This window comes from Homo sapiens, chromosome 19 (assembly GCF_000001405.40).
Source record: "Homo sapiens chromosome 19, GRCh38.p14 Primary Assembly".
Lineage (NCBI taxonomy): Eukaryota > Metazoa > Chordata > Mammalia > Primates > Hominidae > Homo > Homo sapiens.
The window spans coordinates 30,251,803-30,272,691 of record NC_000019.10 but is presented as its reverse complement, the minus strand read 5'-3'; the positions used below and the strand labels follow the sequence as shown (position 1 = coordinate 30,272,691).

Here is a 20,889-nt window from a genome sequence, read left to right as displayed (position 1 = left end):
AGAAGCCAATGTTAAAAGACTACATGTCATACGAATCCAAATACAGGACATTCTGGGAAAGGCTAAACAAGGGAGACAGGAAAAAGACCAGGGTTGCCAGAGGTTCAGGGGAAGAGGGAGTGGAGCTCAGGGGATTTTTAGGGCAGTGAAACCACTCTGTATGATACTGTAATGATGGATACAAGTCATAATACAGTTGTCAAAACCCATAAAATGTCCAACACAAAGAGTGAATCTGAATATAAATTATGAATTTTCATTCATAATAATGTATCAATATTGGTTCAACAATCATAACAAAAGTACCACACTAACACAAATTTAATAGCAGAGGAAAGGTGGAAACAACTAAAATGTCTTTTAATGGAGAGGGGTCAGAAGATACATGGTAACGCTGTACTTTCTGCTCAATTTTATTGGATATTTAAAACTGCTCAAAAAATAATTTACAAAGTTCTGGGATAGGAACTTTACCTATCTATTAATTTACAAAGAAAAAAAAGAGAAAAGAGGAAAGAACAGCTTTGAGGAAACCCAGTGAACCCCTCTTCCCTAGCTGAAGTATTTCCACTTCTGCAAATCAGGAAATCTCTCCAGTGCTTAGAGACTTGGGATCCTTCAGAAGCCTTCTGGCCGCCACTTCTCCGATGAGCTGATGTCCAAAAAATTCCCAGAGAGGCTACTTGGGCAGCTCTTCAAGAAGTGCTCTTGGCTTTCAACGACACAGATCCCAAAGGCTGAAGACCTCATTCTACCAGTTTCTTACTTCTGTGCAGGGGTTTTTGTTATTCTTGTTGTTTTAATTCACAAAACGCACGGACTTGTGTCTCTGGAGGAGAGCCTTGGTCAGTCAGGCCTACAGCCACTTCCTGGGGTCTGTCTCCTAGGACACATAGGGCAAGGAGCTCTTCCAACCGTTTCCACCTCACAAGGTGGTTACTCTCACAAGTGGAGACTCTCACTTCTTCAGTCTCCAAGACAGAAACCTGGATGCTTCAAAAAGTGCTGTGATGTATGAGAGACCAGAGAGAAGTGTGAAAATGGACATGAGCCACCTCCCCAGCTAGAAACTAGCAGGAACGTGGAGGCTGCTAGGAACATGGCGAGAGAATGGTGGGGTTTTGCTCATTTCGCTATCTGGGCAGAGGGTGTGATCAAAATACAGCTATCCTGGTGAACTTGACCCCTAAATCCATATCAGCCTTAGCTCCAGCTACTGGTTATTCTGGAGAAGGGATGAGAAAAGTCAAGGGCAGATGAATGTGGAGGTCACATAAAATATTTCACACTGTTTTCCTGTGATTATATAGCAACAAGAAGAAATAGTAACTGCCAAAATGATAAGTCCCTCAAGCATCTCTCATGCTTTAGCAAAAAAAAAAAAAAAAAAAAGAAAAGAAAAAAACACAGGGAAAGCTTCCAGAAGCATGTACTCTGCAAGCAGTGCTCAGTACAGGGTGTGCAAACACAGGGCACAGAAAGACCACCAGGAAGCCAGGCCTTTCCTCTCCTGGCATATTGAGCAGCTGCTGACAGCCCCTCTTTGCCTATTGCATGGTAAAGTTCCTATCCCAGAAAATTCCAACCTAACCATTCACAGAAAAAGCTGTCCTTTCCCTCTTATCTCCCAAGCCTTTCCATTTTGGAAAAGATTTTCTAAACATTCTTAGAAAGAGTGCATTCTCTCTCTTCTGCCCACAGGTAACAAGGGGATGGCAGATGTTTCAGAAATGGCACATTATAAAAAAAAAAAATCCAATGTCACTAAAACCAGAATGGAAAATGTTTTATACATTAACAAACATTGTAATGAATTTGCACAACCTTAACCGACTGTATACCCAGCATAATGAAATGGTCTCCATCCTTTCAAAGAAAAAATTACGTATGCTAGCACATAGCTTTAGAAAAGCATTGTTCTTTAAAAAAAAAAAAAAAAAACCTGCATTTTTCCCAGCTACCATGTAATTTGTGAGATGCATTTTTAAATGTTCTGCAACAGCAGCGGGCTTCATCAGTCAGATGATACCGATGGATAATTCACCAAACCGTCACATGATCTTCCATCACTCTAAAAGACGCGAATATATTGCCACAAGCTTTGGGAATAATGGGTGCACCTGTTTACGGTGTCACCTCTGTTTGCTAATTGTCTCCTTGAGCTACATTTTACTTCTAATGCATTTATTTTTGACAGGCAGTGTCTATTTAGAAATCACATTACTTCAAGTGCAATTGTTCTTTTGTCTATCAAGTAAATGAAGTGTTGTTATCCAGATTTCAGGTTCTGATTAGTAAAGTATCAGAGCCCCAAAAAGGTCAATCAGTTATTTACCTGAGGTAATAGAAGGATGACAGACATCTTGAATTTTCTTCAGTTCATGCTATAGGCCATAGCATTATAATTACTCAACTCAGCTTAACTTCAATGTATATTCCAGGGGTTGGCAGGCTAAAAAGATGCACTCCCGGGACATGCCTAGAGATTTGTATCCACGAAGAATTGTCGGCTGGTGGGTCTTATGTTTTCACACATAGTTGTCACCATATCAAACACATAGGCCCTGCGACAGACCAGCAGTTGTGGCCAAATGAGTGTGGGGGTGTGTGCACCTATCTGATGACTTGGATGAATTCGCCTTAGAAGTAGGTATTTTTAAATGACTTTTCAAATCATTTTTCTCTCCAGTTCTGATTGGATGAGTTAGTTCAGAGGGATATATAAAGGTGATCACAACCAAAACAAAAACCCAGTAACGACTGTGGAAAAATAAACAGTGCCGTCCCTGAAAACTGGAACCAGCTAGAAGCGGGACTGCCTTTGGCTCCTGTTTGGGTGAAACATGGGTGCCAGCTGCCTCCGGGAATGGCAGTGGGAAGGCCGCACACACAGACACTGGGCTGTGGCATCTTCGTTCGTACAAGCCGAGGCGGGGGACCAACCTAGTACAAACACAGGCCAGGAGCCAAATTTACACAGGCATGAACACACTCAGGTTAAATAGCCAGAAGATATTCATAGTAGGAGGAGGAATGTAACCTGAACACCAATGTGTTTCCTGGTGTTTAGACCCAAATGTCGAAATCTCAAGTACCCTCAAATTATTCCTATAGATAATCCACCTGACTTACTGCCTCAAAAGCAACCCCAACCATGAATCATAAAGACAGTTCTATATTTAGGAATCACTTGTCTCTTAAGTGGATCATCTACAGTTTCTTTTTCATTCCTCCTGATCTCTCCATCCACAAATTGTAGGATTCTCTCCCCCTCCCTGCCTGTACGTAACTCTCCCTCTACATCCCACACCATTAAATTATCCCTGGTGCAACTTCCAGTTGAGCACCAGCCCAGTGACCACTGTCTCCACCAAACCTTGCTCACCCAGAGCCTCCCACTGAGTCCTCATGTTCAACCTGCTCCTCTCCGGACACCCACCTTGTACAGATCTGTGCAGGGCGGCCTCCCCAGGCAGGTGGCAGGGTTCCTGCGGAGTTCCAGGGACCACTGCTACTCAACACACTCGCCAAAAGAAAGAGACACAAAAAGCCATGCTTGCCTTAAGTCACATTCTAAATTGGCTCCCTGGAGCCTTCCCCTACCTTGTTCACTAAAGACCGTGAGTGTTTCCTCAGTGTTTAGCATATGCTATGTAACCTGAGCGGGACTTGCATTGTATCACTAGTTGTTTTTCCAAAGTGTTTTCCCATCAGGACCATAATTATATGCAAACTACTTGACTTAGAACCATTCGCAAACAGGTTTTAAATGTTCACTAAGATAATTCCACTACCTAAAAGCAAGAAAAGGGGAAGACACATGAATCCGTTCTTGGAGACCCTAAGGCCAGCGAGATTGGGGAGTTCCGGCTTGCAGAAGCACAGAACATGCTCAAGAAGGAAAACCCCCACGACATTTTCCACTGAAGCGGCGAGGAATGTTCGCTTCATTCTCCAATTTATTTCAACTCTAAGTACTCTAATCATGGGAAGTACTTTTTGCTTTTTAAACAGCCTGCTTGTTTTTACAGGTCAAGAGCATAAATAAAACAGTCAAGTTGAAAACTTGGAAAGCTCGTTTGTAGGAGAAGGAAGTCGTTATAGATCGTCCATTTGTTCAGACACCAGGCAGTTCTCAGGAGGCAGCTTCACCCTACACAAATGTCAGGGCTCTAGAGAGCCAGCACTCCCTGGGAGGGTCGAGAAGCACCCTGTCATCTTGTCTTGAGGGAATCCTTCTTGAGGAAAGAATGGGGAGTTGTCAAAACCACACCAGGACTATACCCTTATATAGGTAAAGTTTTAATTCAAATTAACATCCAAGCCAAGTATTAAATAGTGATGGGTTGAGAGGTGGACTAATAGCACTGACCACAGATGCACAGCTGAACTCTGATTGGGTGGTCCTGCAATAGTAAGAATCCTAAATTTACTAACTATGAAATGTACTCAGGTCACCACTAAAGTGGGTCCTGATGAGTGAAATTAAGTGCCTACCAATTACAACGCGGGATCTAAACACTAGTAGATCATTTCTCTATTGCAAAGGATCTCAGGAAAATGAGAAGCCCTGAAGTCAATATATTTAATGTGGCTAATATATCTGGGGGGGAGGGAAGGATGAGAGGGGGAGAGAAAGGGAGGGAGGCGGGGGGAGGAAGATGGAAGAAAAGAAAATCACTATCCATTTTCTCCATATGAGAAATTATATAGGTGTGCCTCCTGCCAAGAACAGATATCATAAACAAATAAGCTGTATTCCGTTGCAGATCTCTCTCTCTCTCTTTCTGTGTGTGTGTGTGTGTCTCTGTCACACACACACACATACACACTCAATTGCTGATAGGCTGAAAAAGAAAGCGAGACTCGCAAAGCACTGTGAAAACTCACTATCAATACCAGGGTCACTGGAGCAGAGAGAAAGAACTAAAGTAAGGAAGGGTCAAACAGAGGAAAAAATAATCTCTGGGACAACTTCATGAACTGGTGATACTCCCTGTGTCTGAAGGCAGACAGGGAGTCAGGAGATGCCTGAAGCCGCACCCACAGAGGACAGGACGGGGTGTGCCACAAATGGCAGAGGGTAACACCAGAGAAGGAGTTGGCCCCTCCTTCCCATGATGCCAGGCAGGGGATGCAAAGATGGACAGGGTTGGTAGCAGCTCAGCACCACAATAAGCCACCAAGACCACATTTTTATTCCTACCTTCACTCTATTTTTCCTTTATTCTGCGTGTGCTAGAAGAGTCCCCCTCCTTTTCTTTTTATCAAACATTCCTAATGTAGTGATAAAATGAGGAAGAATGAAAGATTATTATAAAACAGGACTTTTATGGCTAGTGTCTATGGAACAGTCACACTGTTACATATATTTTCTCTAAGTAATCAGGAATGTATTGGTATTTTGAAATTATGTATCTCTAATAACACAAAAGTACTTAAGAACAGAAATAGACAGTAATGGAAAATGCAGTCAACTGTTGACAACATATAGAATTTCTGAAAATAATTTGCAGAGAACAGCACAGCAGATGAGTCAAAATTTTCACAAAAATATTTCTTGCCTCCGATAGTCCAATGTAATTCATTTTCTATCTCTGTTCATTAATCATTGTTAAAATTAGTGATCCATTTCTTCCACTCTGCCATCTGCACTCAGCTTCGTAACAAACATGACACCTTCCTGCATAATAAAACCTGACAACTACTAGGATGCATTTCCAAATAGCTTTCTGCATATTTGCACCTCTATAACGGATTCCGTTGTCAGACAAAAGTGGATTATTTAACCAGAGTTCCTTCTTTATCAATTCTGAACACAGATGTGTGTGAGTGCGTGTGTGTGTGTTAAAATATGATCAAGAAAAAAAATCCGTTAATTTTAATTAAAATGCATTCTTCCTGCCTTAAGTAGAAGGTATTTTAAATCCAAGTTCTGCCAGCCAATATCACTCACCAAAGGCACAGTTGGGAGTATTATGCTTGATATATGAAGTTTACGTAAATAATTCGTGGCTTCATCTTGTAAACTTTTCTAATAAAAATGATCTTGACATTCCAACCTCCTTAAAAAAATTTTCTTTTTAATATCCTGCTCTATTTTGTTTTTCAGTCTTTGATCACAGAATTTCAAATAAATATTTTTAGGGAAAGACAAAACAATCAAGGAGGAGAGAGATACAGACGAGAACACCAATGAATAATTAAACATATGCCAACCGTTCCCTTGGGGAAGCCACCACTGGGTCCAAACCACAGGGAAGAATTCTTGGTCTTTCTGGATGACAGGCCACATGGTGCCAATCAGTCTGACCGTGATGGGGATGGAGATGAGAAGTTACCTTGGCCAGGTGGTGACTCATGCCTATAATCCCAGCACCTTGGGAGGCTGATGCAGGAGAATCACTGGAGCCCAGGAGTTTGAGACCAACCTGGGCAACAAAGTGAGACCCCCTCTCTACAAAAAAAATTAAAAATTAGCCAGGCATGGTGGCTCGTGGCTGTAGTCTCAGCTACTCAGGAGGCTGAGATGGGAGGATTGCTTGAGCCCAGGAATTCAAGGCTGCAGTGAGCTGTGATTGTGCCTCTGCACTCCAGCCTGGGCAACAGAGCAAGACCCTGTCTCTAAAAATATTTAGCCAGCCATGTTGGTATGTGCCTGTAGTTCTAGCTCCTTGGGAGGCTGAAGCAGGAGGATCTCATGAGCCCAGGAGGTTGTGGCTGCAGTGAGCCGTGATCACACCATTGCACTCCAGCCTGGATGACAGATCAAGGCCCTGTCTCTCAAAAAAAGAAAAAAAAAAGAAAAGAGAAACAAAAACCTGGGACCTTCTTCTTACCCTTTGACAGAGCAGTCTCTTAGGAAGAAAATCTAGGAGCTCTGAAGAAAAGAGTGCCCACTTGATTGGGAGGGCAGACCCGTGTCCCTAAGGCCAGCCTGGACTGAGTGGGAGATGACAAGGTGATACCAGCTGGAACCATGACGAAAAAAGGCAGCTTCTATATCTCCACTATCCTGCCTAGTCCTAGCCTGTCTCCCCTCGCTATCCTTTCCTCTGAATATGGCGAGCCCTGAGCAGGGACCACAGGCAATTCAGCCCCTTTCTGAGTGCGTCTCCCCAGTTCCTGCCCATTTCTGTGCAGAGGGAGATGCGGGGTGGACAAGGCGCCTCAGACACACTCAGCGCTTAAGGAGCACATCACACAGTAGGACACACAAGAGGCATGCAGATGTCTCTAAACCAGGATGGAATGACACATGCTCTGATGAAGGGAGACCTGCAGAAGGAAAGGTCCCTCCTGACCTGCAGGAGCGGGAGGTTGGAAGAGCACATGGGGGAAGATGCAGAAATCAGGCGGCTTCTAAGCTGATCAAGACATCAACCAGCAAAGTTGAAGAGGGCTGGGCTCCTGGCAGCAGCAGAGGCTGGCAGAGGATTGCACCCGAGCATTTGGGAAATGTTTGGGCTAGACTGAGGTACTGAAGACACGACTGGGGCTGGAGCTGCTGTTCCCCTGTCTTCTAGGGACATAAAGTCATGGGGCACAAGGGGGAGACTGAAGAGCCAGCACCCTGAAGGCACACCCAACAAATCACATGCAAAGTCAAAGGCACCAGCTCACAGAAGGCAGAGCTCTGTGACAAACTGCACTTTCTTTGAAATTAAAGAAATGGCTGCGAGATGAGTGTTGGTCAATGAATCTCTCTTTCTCTCTCTCTCTCTCACACACACACACACACACACACACACACACACACACGACTATTGACAGAGCAGAACTTTTTGTTTAATCCCCCCGGTTTATCTTTCTCTGTCCTCACAGCCTGGTGTGGAGCTTGGAGCGGATCCCCTAACTAAGCCTGATTAGAATGAGAACAGTCAAAAGACAAACTTTGCAAAAATCAAGGTTTAAAATAGAAATAGCAACTGACCCTCAGCTGCACTGCTGCCGGCTGGGACAGTGACAATAGCGACTCTTTTGTTAAACTTCCCTGTGAGACGTGCTCACCAGACTGGGGTGGGTGTGTGTGTGTCTGTCTGTCTCTTATATGAGAAAGTGGGAGAAAGGTTTTAAAATAGCCTTGGCTTCAAAAAAAAATTAATCGCAAATTACCATTCACCCCTTAGCAGCCAAAATGTCTGTTGATTCATTTAACATATACAAAATCCAAAGCTTTCCTATAAATATTTCAGAACTTGAAACCTTCCATTTTGTCTCTGGCCCTGAACAATAACACACACACATGCGTGCACACGAATACACACACATACACACACACACACACACACACACAGAGGCACAACTGCGGGGGGCGGGGGCCTGGGGGGATCAGGGGAGGGTGTGAAACCCCCTCCCCCACAGCATTGTCTCCCAGCTACCCGGCTCCTCTAGCCTGGAGTTCCCTCTTCCCTTCACATGTCTGCATCCTGACACATTCAATTTCAGGTTATCAGCACATCTGAATTATAGAATACTGATGGGGATAGAGGGCAGGCCTCTCCGGGCTGATTAGCACCATTTAAGAAAGCTTTCACCAGCCGGCTTCATTGGCTGGGAGCGCCACCATGGTGGGTGGCCTTTCTGTATTAGAAGTCAACACAGAGCTGTCTCATTTGAATTAAATATGGACAAAAAGAAAGATCTGATTATGCTTATTCATAGCTAACCTTTCAAGTTCACCAGGCTGCCAAACTTGGAAGTGAAAACTGAAAGTTCCTTTCCTGTTGCTGGATTTCTTATTTTCTCTTGCAGTTTTTCAGTGTAGTCTGAAATGCGTGTGTGTAGGGTGTGTGTGTGTGTGTGTGTGTATGTGTGTGTGTGTGTTTAAATTTCAGCCTAGCCCAGTCTGGGAGTTTCTTTCTAGAGAGATGCATCAGGAGAGATTCAGGGAAAAGCTTTTAACCTAGAGATAGAAAACAATGGAAACGCGGGGTCTGATTTTAACCCATAAATGTATGAAATACACACACGCGTGCACACACACAACTTAACTTCTTCTTGCAACAGAATGAGTAGCTGAAAATCTGATTAGTGTAAACAAATTTTTGACTTGGGGCTGAGTGGGGCAGCGATTCAGAAAAGGCCAAAACGCACAGAAGATTGGAGTCGCCGAGTTGCGAATGAGATCACCTTTCATAGTGGCATTACCTTTATATCGTCACCTTCACAGACACGCACACACTCCGTTATCTTTCATTTCCATCCTTCCTCAGCAATGGGCAGCTCCTTCAACACTGAGTTAATAAAAGGAGCTGGTCGGGGGGATGGTCCCTGGGAGATGCCAGGGAATCTGGTCCCAGTGGGTTCTGCTGCCAGCTCCACGGGTGATGGCACTGCAGTGTGGCTTCTGTAGGGGCTCCGGGTTCCAGAATCCAAGACAGGGCAGGGACCCAGTAAATGCTTTCCAAAATCATTATGCTAGAGACCAGCCCTGGCATCCACATAAGCAACCGAAGCTCTAGTCCCATTCAGTTCAGTTTAACAAATATTTATTGAGCATGTACTGTTTGCTATGCGCTGTGCTGCATTCTGGGGTCTCACAGAGGAGCTGCACCATGCTGCTCCCACCAAGCAGCCCTCCTCCCACCTCCTTCTCGGGGCTCACTGCCTTTGCTCACCTAGGGGACACCAGGACATCCTCCCTCATGCCTGTCCACGCTGCGGAGTTCTCTATCACCCTGAACTTCCTGTCCCTGAGCACCCACACCTGACGGGCTTGGTGCTCTAGCACCCCTGCCTTACACAGGTCATTCCCAAGAGGGTTGGCCTTGGCTCTCCATTCATGTTGCAAATTCCACGAGGGCAGAAATTATATCTCATCCTCCTTGGAGGCGTCCTCAGAAAGTCCCAAATATTGAGGAAACCAGCCCCCATCTGCCACTGGGACACAAACAAGGAGGCAGTGTGGGCATCGCAGAGTCAGGCAGTACCTCCCTGAGGGTGAGGTCCCCCTATGTCCCCACCATTGCAGGGAGGCGACACTGTTGCCCCTCACTTTCCACCAGCCACCCAGGTCCCTCTGACCACCTGGCCACCCAAGGATGCCATAGCATTCCACGAACACCAGCAAGACAAGTCCACATTGCATCTCCAAGCCTCCAACCACGGATGAGCCCTCCCTTCCTGGGGCAGCACACGCAGAGGCAGTGGCATAACTGACTTCAGGAAGCACAGGACTGCCTTGCTGCCCATCTGTCAGTCCCCAAAACCCGCAGCCTTGAAATACAGGAGCAAAGACTGCCATCAGGCACCAAGGAAGATGGCCTCTGAGTCAGCACAAGCCCCATGCTTTGACCCGTGCATCAGCCCAGAGTTACAAGGTACAAGCACTTGTCATGTGGATGCCTCAGGGAAACTCAGTGGTACAGCTCCATGACTGTCCCTTCCCACCTGCACCTGGAGGACCTATGTCCTGGGCAGCCGCCATGGAAAAGGAGGAAGAGAGGACAATGAGGAGACCAGCCAGGCAGGCTCAGCCTCTCACCTGGAGTCTCCTGCTAACAGAGGAGCACCAGACTCTGTGTTCTTATTTGTCTTTTATGGGTTGGTGGAGTTTTTCTTTGATGAAGCACCACCATCGCCACCTAAACCAAACCCGTATTTCTGAAAGCGGTGAACTAGATTTCTCATCACTAGCTTTGAACCTGCAGACCTCCCATGGTGCCAGTAATTGCATTGCCAATGAGACGCAGAAGTGCACCCACCAGCAGCCTGAGATGTGAAGAGGGGGTGGGACTCCTCTCAATAAAACACTCACCAGGATGGACCAGCCACACTTCTGCTGGGTGCAGGAGCCCTCCCCAGGGGATGGCCAAGGAGGTTCAGGAAACACTGGCCACCCTCAGCCCATTCCACACCTCAGTCATCCACAGCCCCCTTTCACAGTTCCCACCATAACTTTGTGCCATCCAGACCTTTATTTACTTAATACTTTTTTTTAATTAACTTTAAATCAACTCACTTTTCTTTTTCTTTTTTTTTTTTTTTTTTTTGGACAAGGTCCCACTCCGTTGCCCAGGCTGGAGTGCAGTGGTGCGATCATAGCTCACTGGAGCTTTGAACTCTTGGGCTCAAATGACCCTCCCACCTTAGCCTCCTGAGTAGCTGGGACTACAGGCATGCACCACCACACCTGGTTAATTTTTAAATGTTTTGAGAGACAGAGTCTTGTTACATTGCCCAGATTGGTCTCAAACTCCAGGGCTCAAGCTATCCTCTGACCTCAGCCTCCCAAAGAGCTGAGCCATAGCACCTACAGGCATGAGCCACCGCACCTACTCTTTTCTTTCTTCTTTTTATAAGTTAGCCTCACCTTAAGCAATAGCATCTGCAAAACTCACAGCTATAATGTGCTAGTTATATTTTTCTTTTTTTTTTTTTTTTTTTTTTTTTGAGACGGAGTCTCGCTCTGTCGCCCAGGCTGGAGTGCAGTGGCGGGATCTCGGCTCACTGCAAGCTCCGCCTCCCGGGTTCACGCCATTCTCCTGCCTCAGCCTCCCAAGTAGCTGGGACTACAGGCGCCCGCCACTACGCCCGGCTAATTTTTTGTATTTTTAGTAGAGACGGGGTTTCACCATTTTAGCCAGGATGGTCTCGATCTCCTGACCTCGTGATCCGCCCGCCTCGGCCTCCCAAAGTGCTGGGATTACAGGCGTGAGCCACCGCGCCCGGCCGCTAGTTATATTTTTCTAATAGGTCTTTAGATATCCAATAATCTATGTATCATGCAAAATAGTCTCACATAGTGGGAGCCACATTTGTGGAGAGCTCAGTAGCTGAAGCTGAGGCTGTGGAGTCAATGGGATGGGCCAGGGGGTCTGAAGCATGAAGGTCTTTGTCTCCTTATTTCTAGGAGCAGGACTGGGCTTGGGGGTATGAAGGCCATGCCCACACATTTGCTTGTACCTGCTTCTCCTGCTCCGGGGGCTGAAGCCTTTGCAGGTTCGCTAGACTCTACCAAGTATGGTGGCCATGGCTGGTGCCTGGGTCATAACTTCTTAACAGAAGGCCATCAGCCTGTCACTTCCCAACCTAGAGAAGGACTCTCAGTGGCAGCACAGCAAGTGGCCAATGAATTTCCTTCTGACTCCATCCTGAACTCACCAAGAGTCTCTCTCACTGCCAAGAAAGCTCTACCTGAGAATTGCCAATGGCCGACATGCAACGGAGGTTGGCCTTGGGCTTGGACCACCAACCTTCCTCGCAGCATCTCACTATAGTCACACAGCTGTGGCTTCTGCCCAAAAACACTCCAGCAGAAGCTCTGCAATGAGTAGGAGAATCCTCTTATCCTGCCCAGCAAACTCTAAACAGACAACTCTAATGACTCCATAAAATGCAGATATTTCCTGGACAGGAACAACTGCTGTGATGTTCCCCAACCTGAACATGGAAACACCTAATGCCCTGCAGGATGCAGGACTCAAAAGTCAAAGAACAGACACTTTACACTGACCTGTTGCAGTACGGAGAGATGGCATTCTCCAGAATTCAAGTCTAAAATAAACACATTTTAGACATCGGAGTCACCTCTACATTTTTCAAGATTCTAATGATCAACTGGTAAACTTGTGAAAAACCCCAATAAATGATCTCTTAGAAAGGCAGAAGAAAGAAGCATCCAATAGCTGGGCATGGTGGCTCACGCCTGTAATCCCAGCACTTTGGGAGGCCAAGGCAGGTGGATCACTTGAGGTCAGGAGTTCAAGACCAGCCTGGCAAAGATGGTGAAACATCGTCTCTACTAAAAATGCAAAAAAAAAAAAAAAAAAATTAGCTGGGCATGGTGGTGGTGCCTGTAATCCCAGATATAGAGGAGCCTGAGGCAAGAGAATTGCTGAACCCAGGAGGTGGAGGTTGCAGTGAGCCAAGATCGCACCACTGCACTCCAGCCTGGGTGACAGAGCAAGACTCTGTCTCAGAAAAAAAAAGAAGCACCCGATAACCACCTATCTGTTTTTTCGCATTTTAAACAAACAACCGTGCTTACTGACTGGGTCTACAGGCTTGTAGCACAGCCTCTGGGACACGAAGATGACACTAGGAGATGATGGAAAGTTCTGGAACATGGGGATTGGGCTTCTAGCCTTGGAAAAGCCACTGCCATTTTATAACCCCTGAAGCAGTGGCTCTTACACCTCAGTACGCATCAGAGTCACCTAGAGGACTTGTTAAAACATGGACTGCTGGGCCTAACCCACAGCGTTTCCGATTAGATGGGTCTGGGGTGAGGCCCGGGATTTGCATTTCTAACAAGCTCCCTGGTGACGCCCATGCTGTTGCGCCAGGACCACAGTCCTAGTTCATCTCAGGACCCGCTGCTGCATTCTTTTTCTGTAAGGGAAAGATGGTAACCATCCCTGCTCCCTGATGTATCCCTTTGGTAGTGTGAAATTTTTGATCATCAGAAGAGTGTGAGGTCTTTTCTCTTTAAAGTGTAATCACCCATATATGAAAGCATCAGAATATAAATGACGCAGAAAAAGCAAAAACCTTGGATGCCAGTTCCCATTCTGTGCAAAATCGCTACCTTCTCCCCACCCGCAACTGCAAACAAAATGAAAAAGCGGGGGTTGAGTTGCTACAGGCTTCTCTTAGGTTTAACCTCAGAAATTTGTTATATTTTTAATGCTATACTTATTTGAATGCAATAATAAAAAAATAAAAAATTTTGGCCGGTCACAGTGGCTCATGCCTGTAATCTCAGCACTTTGGGAGGCCAAGGCAGGCAGATCACTTGAGGTAAGGAGTTCCAGACCAGCCTGGCCAACATGGAGAAACCCCATCTCTATTAAAAATATAAAAATTAGCCAGGCGTGGTGGTGCACACCTGTAATCCCAGCTACTCGGGAGGCTGAGGCAGGAGAATCGCTTGAACCTAGGAGGCAGAGGTTGCAGTGAACGGAGATCATGCCACTGCACTCCAGCCTGGGTGACAAAGCAAGACTCTGTCTCAAAAATTAAATAAATAAATAAATAAATAAATAAATAAATATTTAAAAAATAAAAATTTTTGATGACTACATATGACTTATGTACTAAAGAACTAATCACACAAACATACACATTTGTAAAGCATTCATCTATCAAATGGTACCAATGGGTTGAGATGACCAAGGTGCTCGCTGATGAGGAGTGGTGGTGATAAAGCACTCTTCCATAACACAGTTAATGTACTTTCCGTTTCTATGCCAGAGGCATGTTCAACTATCTATGAAACAGGAAACAACTACGCATTATACAACTACATATTGAACAATTTTTGCCAGAAAAATATCCAGAAACACCCCAGGATTAGAGCATGCCTTTCTTAAGTTAAACCTCAAGATGCTGGGCTGTACCTGGTTATCTGTGAAGCTCCTACTTTTCTCACGTTTAACAAGAGGATGGGGCTAGTTTCAGCTTTAGTGTCCCTTCTGTCACCAGAGTCATTGGAAGTGGCTTGGAGGTGAATTGGTTTTGTAGGTTGTGTAGGCGACACCTTCATGGTTAGCATATTTGCAGCCACCAATGACGTCTCCATGGCCAACTACTTCCATTTAAACACAAAATGGGCTAACATCTTATTCTCAGATGTAAGGGTGATGGCCAAAATGGCAGCCAGTGGAGAACAAACTGTAGCTCCACATGGCACACACAGACCCCCATGAGGACCAAAGAGGAGACACTAGGAAGGAGGCTGGTAACAACCTGTCCTGCTGCCCTAGTTCTGCAGAGTCCAAAAACCCTAGTGACAGGATGGCTTGCTTGTGTACTCAATGTTGACCAGGTCAAAGACAGCAATCCAGAAAGTACCTTCACTTAACTTCAGTGTTCTGGGCTTCAGAGTTTGAACAAAGAGGAAACAAGTCCCCATGCAGACTCTTAGAGTGAGCAGCTCCTCCAGTTGCAATGGGTCCGCCCAGGAGCAGCATCAGCTTGCTGAAGGTACGCTGGCCTTACAGTGACCACCTTCCCTCCCAGATCTTCAGCCCCTCCTGGGAGGCAGGCCAGCAACAGCATTCAAGGCCCCAGTATTCTCCAACACTGTGCTGTTTAGTTCTTCCCTGTAAACAGAGTCAACCTAAAGCTGGTCAGCTGCTAGCCACATGGTAGTAATGAGCTCAGGATCCTGGAGTTCACTATTATTTCTGATTTACTCTCTTCCTGATCTTTCATTTTATCAGCAAAACATCCTCTTGGCAATGGTTATTAAGCTAAAACTTAAATAAAAAGAAATGCAAGGAAGAGTTTGCAAAAGGCACAGCACGTGAAAGGAAAATATTCAGACCCCAGACTTGGCCTTGACCTTTTACTGTCTTTTAACATTAAACATTTGCCCCACCTTCGAAAAGATAAATGTGGCTTTTGATGACAGCCAATGTTATCTGAGGATTAAAATAGCCCTCTTGCAGTGCTCAACATTAAAGTCTTCCGCATTTGCAAAATTGCAAACAGATGCAACTCAAGTACCTGCAAATAATCTGCCAAGACCAATTTCAAAAGGGAGATTTCAAAATATGTGGAAGTCATTAGGACATGTATTATTTTTGCAATGAATAGGCGCCAGGAGTGTCTCAAGGAGCAGATGGGTGCTACTTTGTTTATAAAAGATCAACAGAATATTCGGCTGTAAATGAAGACATATAAGCTATATGAAACAATTATGGTAAAATGGCGAACATTTCAAAGCTAATTGTAATGGTCTTTTAAGATCTGAATTCCTCATTTCTTACTGCATGCTAAAATATCATTTTAGTTTTGGATCTTGATTGATATAATTACCAAAATGACAGAAAATTAAAGTAAATGCTGTCAGTTTTACTGTTGTAAATGTTGTCACTTTATCACTTGTTTACAGTTGCACCAATACTGATAAATGAATATTTTTCAACATGAATAAAAAATGTGACCTCCATCTCCCGGAAGTCTTCAAAAAGGACAGCCCCAAACGTTAAGAACCCAAGCAGACAGAGTGAACCTCAAACTGCATTACAACAGAATCCCAAATAGCCTCTCTCCTCCAGAGGCCCGGCTTCAGAGAGCTCCTGTTGCTAATAAAAATCTCCATGATATGACAGAAGGAAACAGAACCAGCAACCATTCGCCCTCACTCGGGTCTTTCTGGACGCCTGTGTCACCGCCCAAGCAGGACTGAGTTAAGCCCCTATTCTATTTTCCTGTTTTATATTGGTAATCATGTAAATTAGATAATTACTCATGGAAAATGTGATTAAACATACGTCGCTATTGCCAATACCGAATCATGAAGAAAGGGCATTTCTGCGAATTGCTTTTAACATAAATAGCAAACCGGGCTCGTAAAAAATGTCCAATTAGGCCAATACCTAATGATAGATGGGCTGATCCCATGACTTACACAGATGCAAACTGCACGCAGGAAAAATGAGGAATCGCATACGACGTCTTGGATCTATGTTTCAACACAAAAGACCTCTTTGCCCAGGATGCTTTCAGAATTTCACAAACTCCTACAAAGTTGAGTCTCCTCTTTTTTCCTTTTTTCTACCCTTAAGTTTCTGTGGGGCCTTAAATTCTGTGAGCTGCAGAAGGACTCTCTCCACAGCTGTAAATATAGGGGACGTGGGAGAGAGAAAGAAAAAAGGAGAGAGAAACTTGGGCTAAAGACACAGGTCTGGAAGGAACAGCAAGGGAGCCACAGAGGCTGCCGCCAGCTGCCCCCAGTGGTCTGCAGATGCAGAGGCCTCCTGGGGTCCAGCACTCTCCCCCCAGCCCAATGCCTCTCCATGCTAATCACCCCTGAGCACTGCAGCAGTTTCCAAGGAGGCTGTTGGCTTCAGCATTTCCTTCCTCTCTTTCCTGAGTCACTAGCACCACTTTTCCATAAATCTTTAAACCAAGCGCACATATTCTCCCATGACGGGGTCTATGCAGACGAAGACCTGCACCCTACAATCACTGATGAAATTTGTATTGACTCCAAAATCAAAAGTAATGAGAAGAAAATTGGTTCACAGCCTGACCCGACAGTTCCAGACTGCTGTATTGAAGTTGCAGAAAGACATTTTTTTTATTGTCTCCAGATTTCAATTAACAACATTGAGCCACCCCATCCTGGCATTATTAGTTTGAACAGAAGATCAGATTTAAGAAGTTTCACTAAATTAATTACTGTAATCGTATCCTGCATTTCTGGAAAACCTTCCTGTTTTGTAAAGAGAAAAGACGCCTTTTACAAATTGAGGGACACTTGTGGACCCCCAAACCTAATGCATCCACCCGAACCCGTGTTCTTTAGTCTCATGTATGTGCTTCTGTGTAAAATGTACATGCATGTAGGAGATGTCCACTCTCGCAGGGTCATGAAATCCTAGCTCATCAGCTGCAACTATCTCCCCGCAAATATTCCTTGTCAGGTTTTAGCGCCCAAGCTAAAATTTCCTCTTCTCACCACCCCAAGCTCTAAAGCCATATGTTCCCACCGAATTAGTAAGAGTAAACCCCACCGACAATCACCCTGAAAGCCACAAACGAGAGCCATCCTCTTTTGAATGAAAAAAAGGGGGGGAATAGATCCAGAGACACTATCATTGCCCCTATCTTGAGTAAAAATGCAAATTATGCCACACGGTGCTAAATTATTCTGGGATATTTCATAATGTGAATTAATACCCACTAGAGGCTAAGCCGAGATCATCAAACTCATTTCACATAAGACAACGAATTTAACCACCCGTGACTCAATGAGTGAGAAGTTAACATGATATCTAGAAACACTAACCACTCCAAGGTAGATTGTCCTTAAATAAAATAACCCATTTTAAAGACTTTTAAGTCCAGTGCTAACTTTCTCAGATCTCACCAGATGGCAGAACATTTAAGGTTCAGGCTTTCGGCTCAGCTGATGATGAAAATTATTTCTGTGGGGATCAGGCTTTATCTAGTCACCATCTTCTATCAAGACCAAGTAAAAATCCTATTTCACTAAAGTGAAACCACACAAACAAAAGCACTTTGCTACTTCCCAATCTCTGCACAGTTGGACTACCGACTCCTAGTTAGCTAAAACAAATGTCACATTTTCAGTTCACATTGGCGGGTCCACATTCCAGAGGAGGTTTGGATGATTTTTTTTTTTTTTTTCAAAAAGAGAACAATCAAATTTAAGACAACTCTCTGGAAGAGACTTTAAAAAAAAAAAAAAAATCAAAGGTTCTCTACCCCAATGCCAACTGTATCTCTAATGCACTTGAACAATAAGGCGGGCTGTGTTCCTACCCTGGAAAAACACCGTGCGTATGAATCCTAGGAATTTAGTATATCTGACAGTTTCTCTCAACCACCCATAACATTCTTTCCTGTCTCATTGGAGCTGGCAAAGGAGAATTCTGTAATTGAGTGGTACAGAACATGTGCCCTCCTTGCTAGAAGATGACAGATGGATTATAAAAACTTCAAAGAAGAGCATTCGGAGCACCAGGGGAGAGATAGTGGGTATTTGAACTCTCCGTCTTTACCCAGGAGACAATGGCATTCTGACATGGAGCATATATCAAGGAATGGTGTAACTAGATAGACATAATCTTTCTTTTCACTAAGTATTTAACATTCTGTTAGGAACAAGTTTCAGCCCGGCTAAAGTGCAACTCATCTTCATGCTAATCGTCATACAGCAATAGTGACACGGCCCACACCCCCCTCCACTTTTGATTGTGGTTAAATCAGTCTTTTAGAAAACTGATTTTAATTTTTTTTTCTTAAAGAACAGGAACAGCTTCTGCTTTTGGAAGGGGAAAAAAAAAGTAGAAATGAAGCATCGGGTTGGGATTAGCGTCTTTTCTGACTCACTAATCTGATGAGGCTTTTATTTGCGACGCTTGTTCCCTTTCCTATGACTAAGGAAGGGCTCTCACACATGGCTCACGGACCACATGCCACCAATTACCCATCTCAAAGCGCAGCCGTGACTCACCTGAGCCCGGCTGGAGCTGTCGGCGCCACCCCACATGTCCCCAGGAACCAAGCCTCCCCCGCGACTCCTCCCGTCCACCCGCCCAGCCGGGGCACACACAGATACAGCCCATGGGTGGGGAAGCAGGCACAGATTCTGAATGACACAGTCTCCTGCCTCCAGCCCCACATTTTGGCTGGGAAAAACAAATCAAAACAAGGCAGAAACACAATTCACAAGCAATTCTTAAAATTCAAGCTGTGCGTTGTTGGGCAGCACAGGGGCTGCTCTCAACACAGCCCTGATGACAGAACGCGTGTCTCTGGCCCCGAAATACTGCTCCACACTGAAGCCCAAACTGCAATAAGATTCGCATTGATATGATGAATTGTAAGCCAAAAAAAACCTTAAATTTTCTATGTCTCTTAAAATTTTGATAGAGACATGAAATGGCTTATAGAATTCTAATTATAGCAACAGACTTCAAAAAATGTCTCAATGTCAGAGATTAGTGAATCAAAGGCACATTTTTAAAATCAATTTTTCCTTCTGAATATGAACAGTATTTATCATTCACACTGCCCTCTGGAAACACCAGCTAGGATCCCTCTCCACATTTGACTAGGAGGGTCTCCCTGCGGTTAGGAGGCTGATAATCTGAGAGCTTCCAAGGGGTAAAGATTTGCCTAAAGGGTGATGGTTCCAACTGGAATGAGCATTGTGGGTGCCCACTTCAGAAACTGATTCCAAATCTTTTCACCTCGCTACTGCTCATCACCATCACCATCACCATCATCATCAGCATTTCGAAACATTCTCTACCTTCTTTAAAGCCCTACAAAATAAATGGAGTTAAAATGGAATTTGTTTTATGAGAATCACAGCCACTTTTTAAAATAACAAGATATGTCCTAAATATTCCTACAGTGGGGAATCCGTCCCTTCTGCCATTCCTACATAGGTACAAAAAATGCTTTAGAACTACCAAGCTCATCTATCTGGGATCTAATGGAGAATCAATCTACTGAGAATTAGACAGTGGATCTAATCTTGGTCTCCAACCCAGCTCAGCACCTTCGCCACTCCATTAGGCAGGCAAAGATTCCCATTTTAGGGGGTAACTTTATGCTGGATTGCTGATGGCCGCAGGCACAGATGTCTAGTGGTCATATCCACTCACTCAAAAAAATGGTAGGCAGGTGTCTCTCGGGCTATGGCATACAGGTGGGCAGAAAACACAGTAAAAGACCCAGGGTCCATTCGCATCACAGGAATGCTGTTGACCTGAGGTAGATGGAGGGTAAATCCTCCTGCCTCATCCCAGGGTATGCACCCTGGCCTTCCAACCTCCAGAGGCTTCTCCAGCTCCCCCGGAGGCACCAGATCCCCCTGGGGAGACTAGGAGTGCGGTCCCCAGCCACAGCCAGCCAGGGCCAACAAGAATTCCAGGGAGTATTCCCTATGGAGAATAGAAGATATTTTTTAAAGTGGAAGTTTTTTTATTATGGTCATTCTTGCAGGAGTAGGGTGGTATTGCATTGCGGTTTTGATTTGCATTTCCCTAATCATTAGTGATGTTGAGCATTTTTTCATAAGTTTGTTAGCTATTTGTATATCTTCTTTTGAGAATCATCTATTCATGTCCTTAGGCCACTTTTTGTTGGGATTGTTTGTTTTTCTCTTGCTAATTTGTTTGAGTTCATTGTAGATTCTGGATATTAGTCCTTTGTCAGATGTATAGATTGTGAGGATTTTCTCCCACTCTGTGGGTTGTCTGTTTACTTTGCTGACCTTTTTGCTGTGCAAAAGCTCTTTTCTATATATATATATGTGCAATGGAATACTACTCAGCCACAAAAAGGAATGAATAAATGGCATTCACAGCAACCTGGATGGGATTGAAGACTATTAGTCTAAGTGAAGTAACTCAGGAATGGAAAACCAAACATTGTATGTTCTCACTCATAAGTGGGAGC

At 44.6% G+C, this 20,889-nt stretch overlaps 1 protein-coding gene across 42 annotated transcripts in view, besides 1 other annotated feature; it reads right to left on the bottom strand.

The window, feature by feature from the left end:
- The window catches only part of ZNF536 (zinc finger protein 536), a 487,995-nt gene that overhangs the window by 440,895 nt on the left and 26,211 nt on the right, over positions 1–20,889 (bottom strand). The gene's annotated exons all lie outside the window — the stretch shown is intronic.
- Positions 14,951–16,542: an enhancer, noted in NCBI's record as "VISTA enhancer hs858". NCBI's record gives its function as "enhancer in: limb[10/11] | branchial arch[10/11]" and the evidence as "EXISTENCE:transgenic organism evidence [ECO:0001131][PMID:17130149]".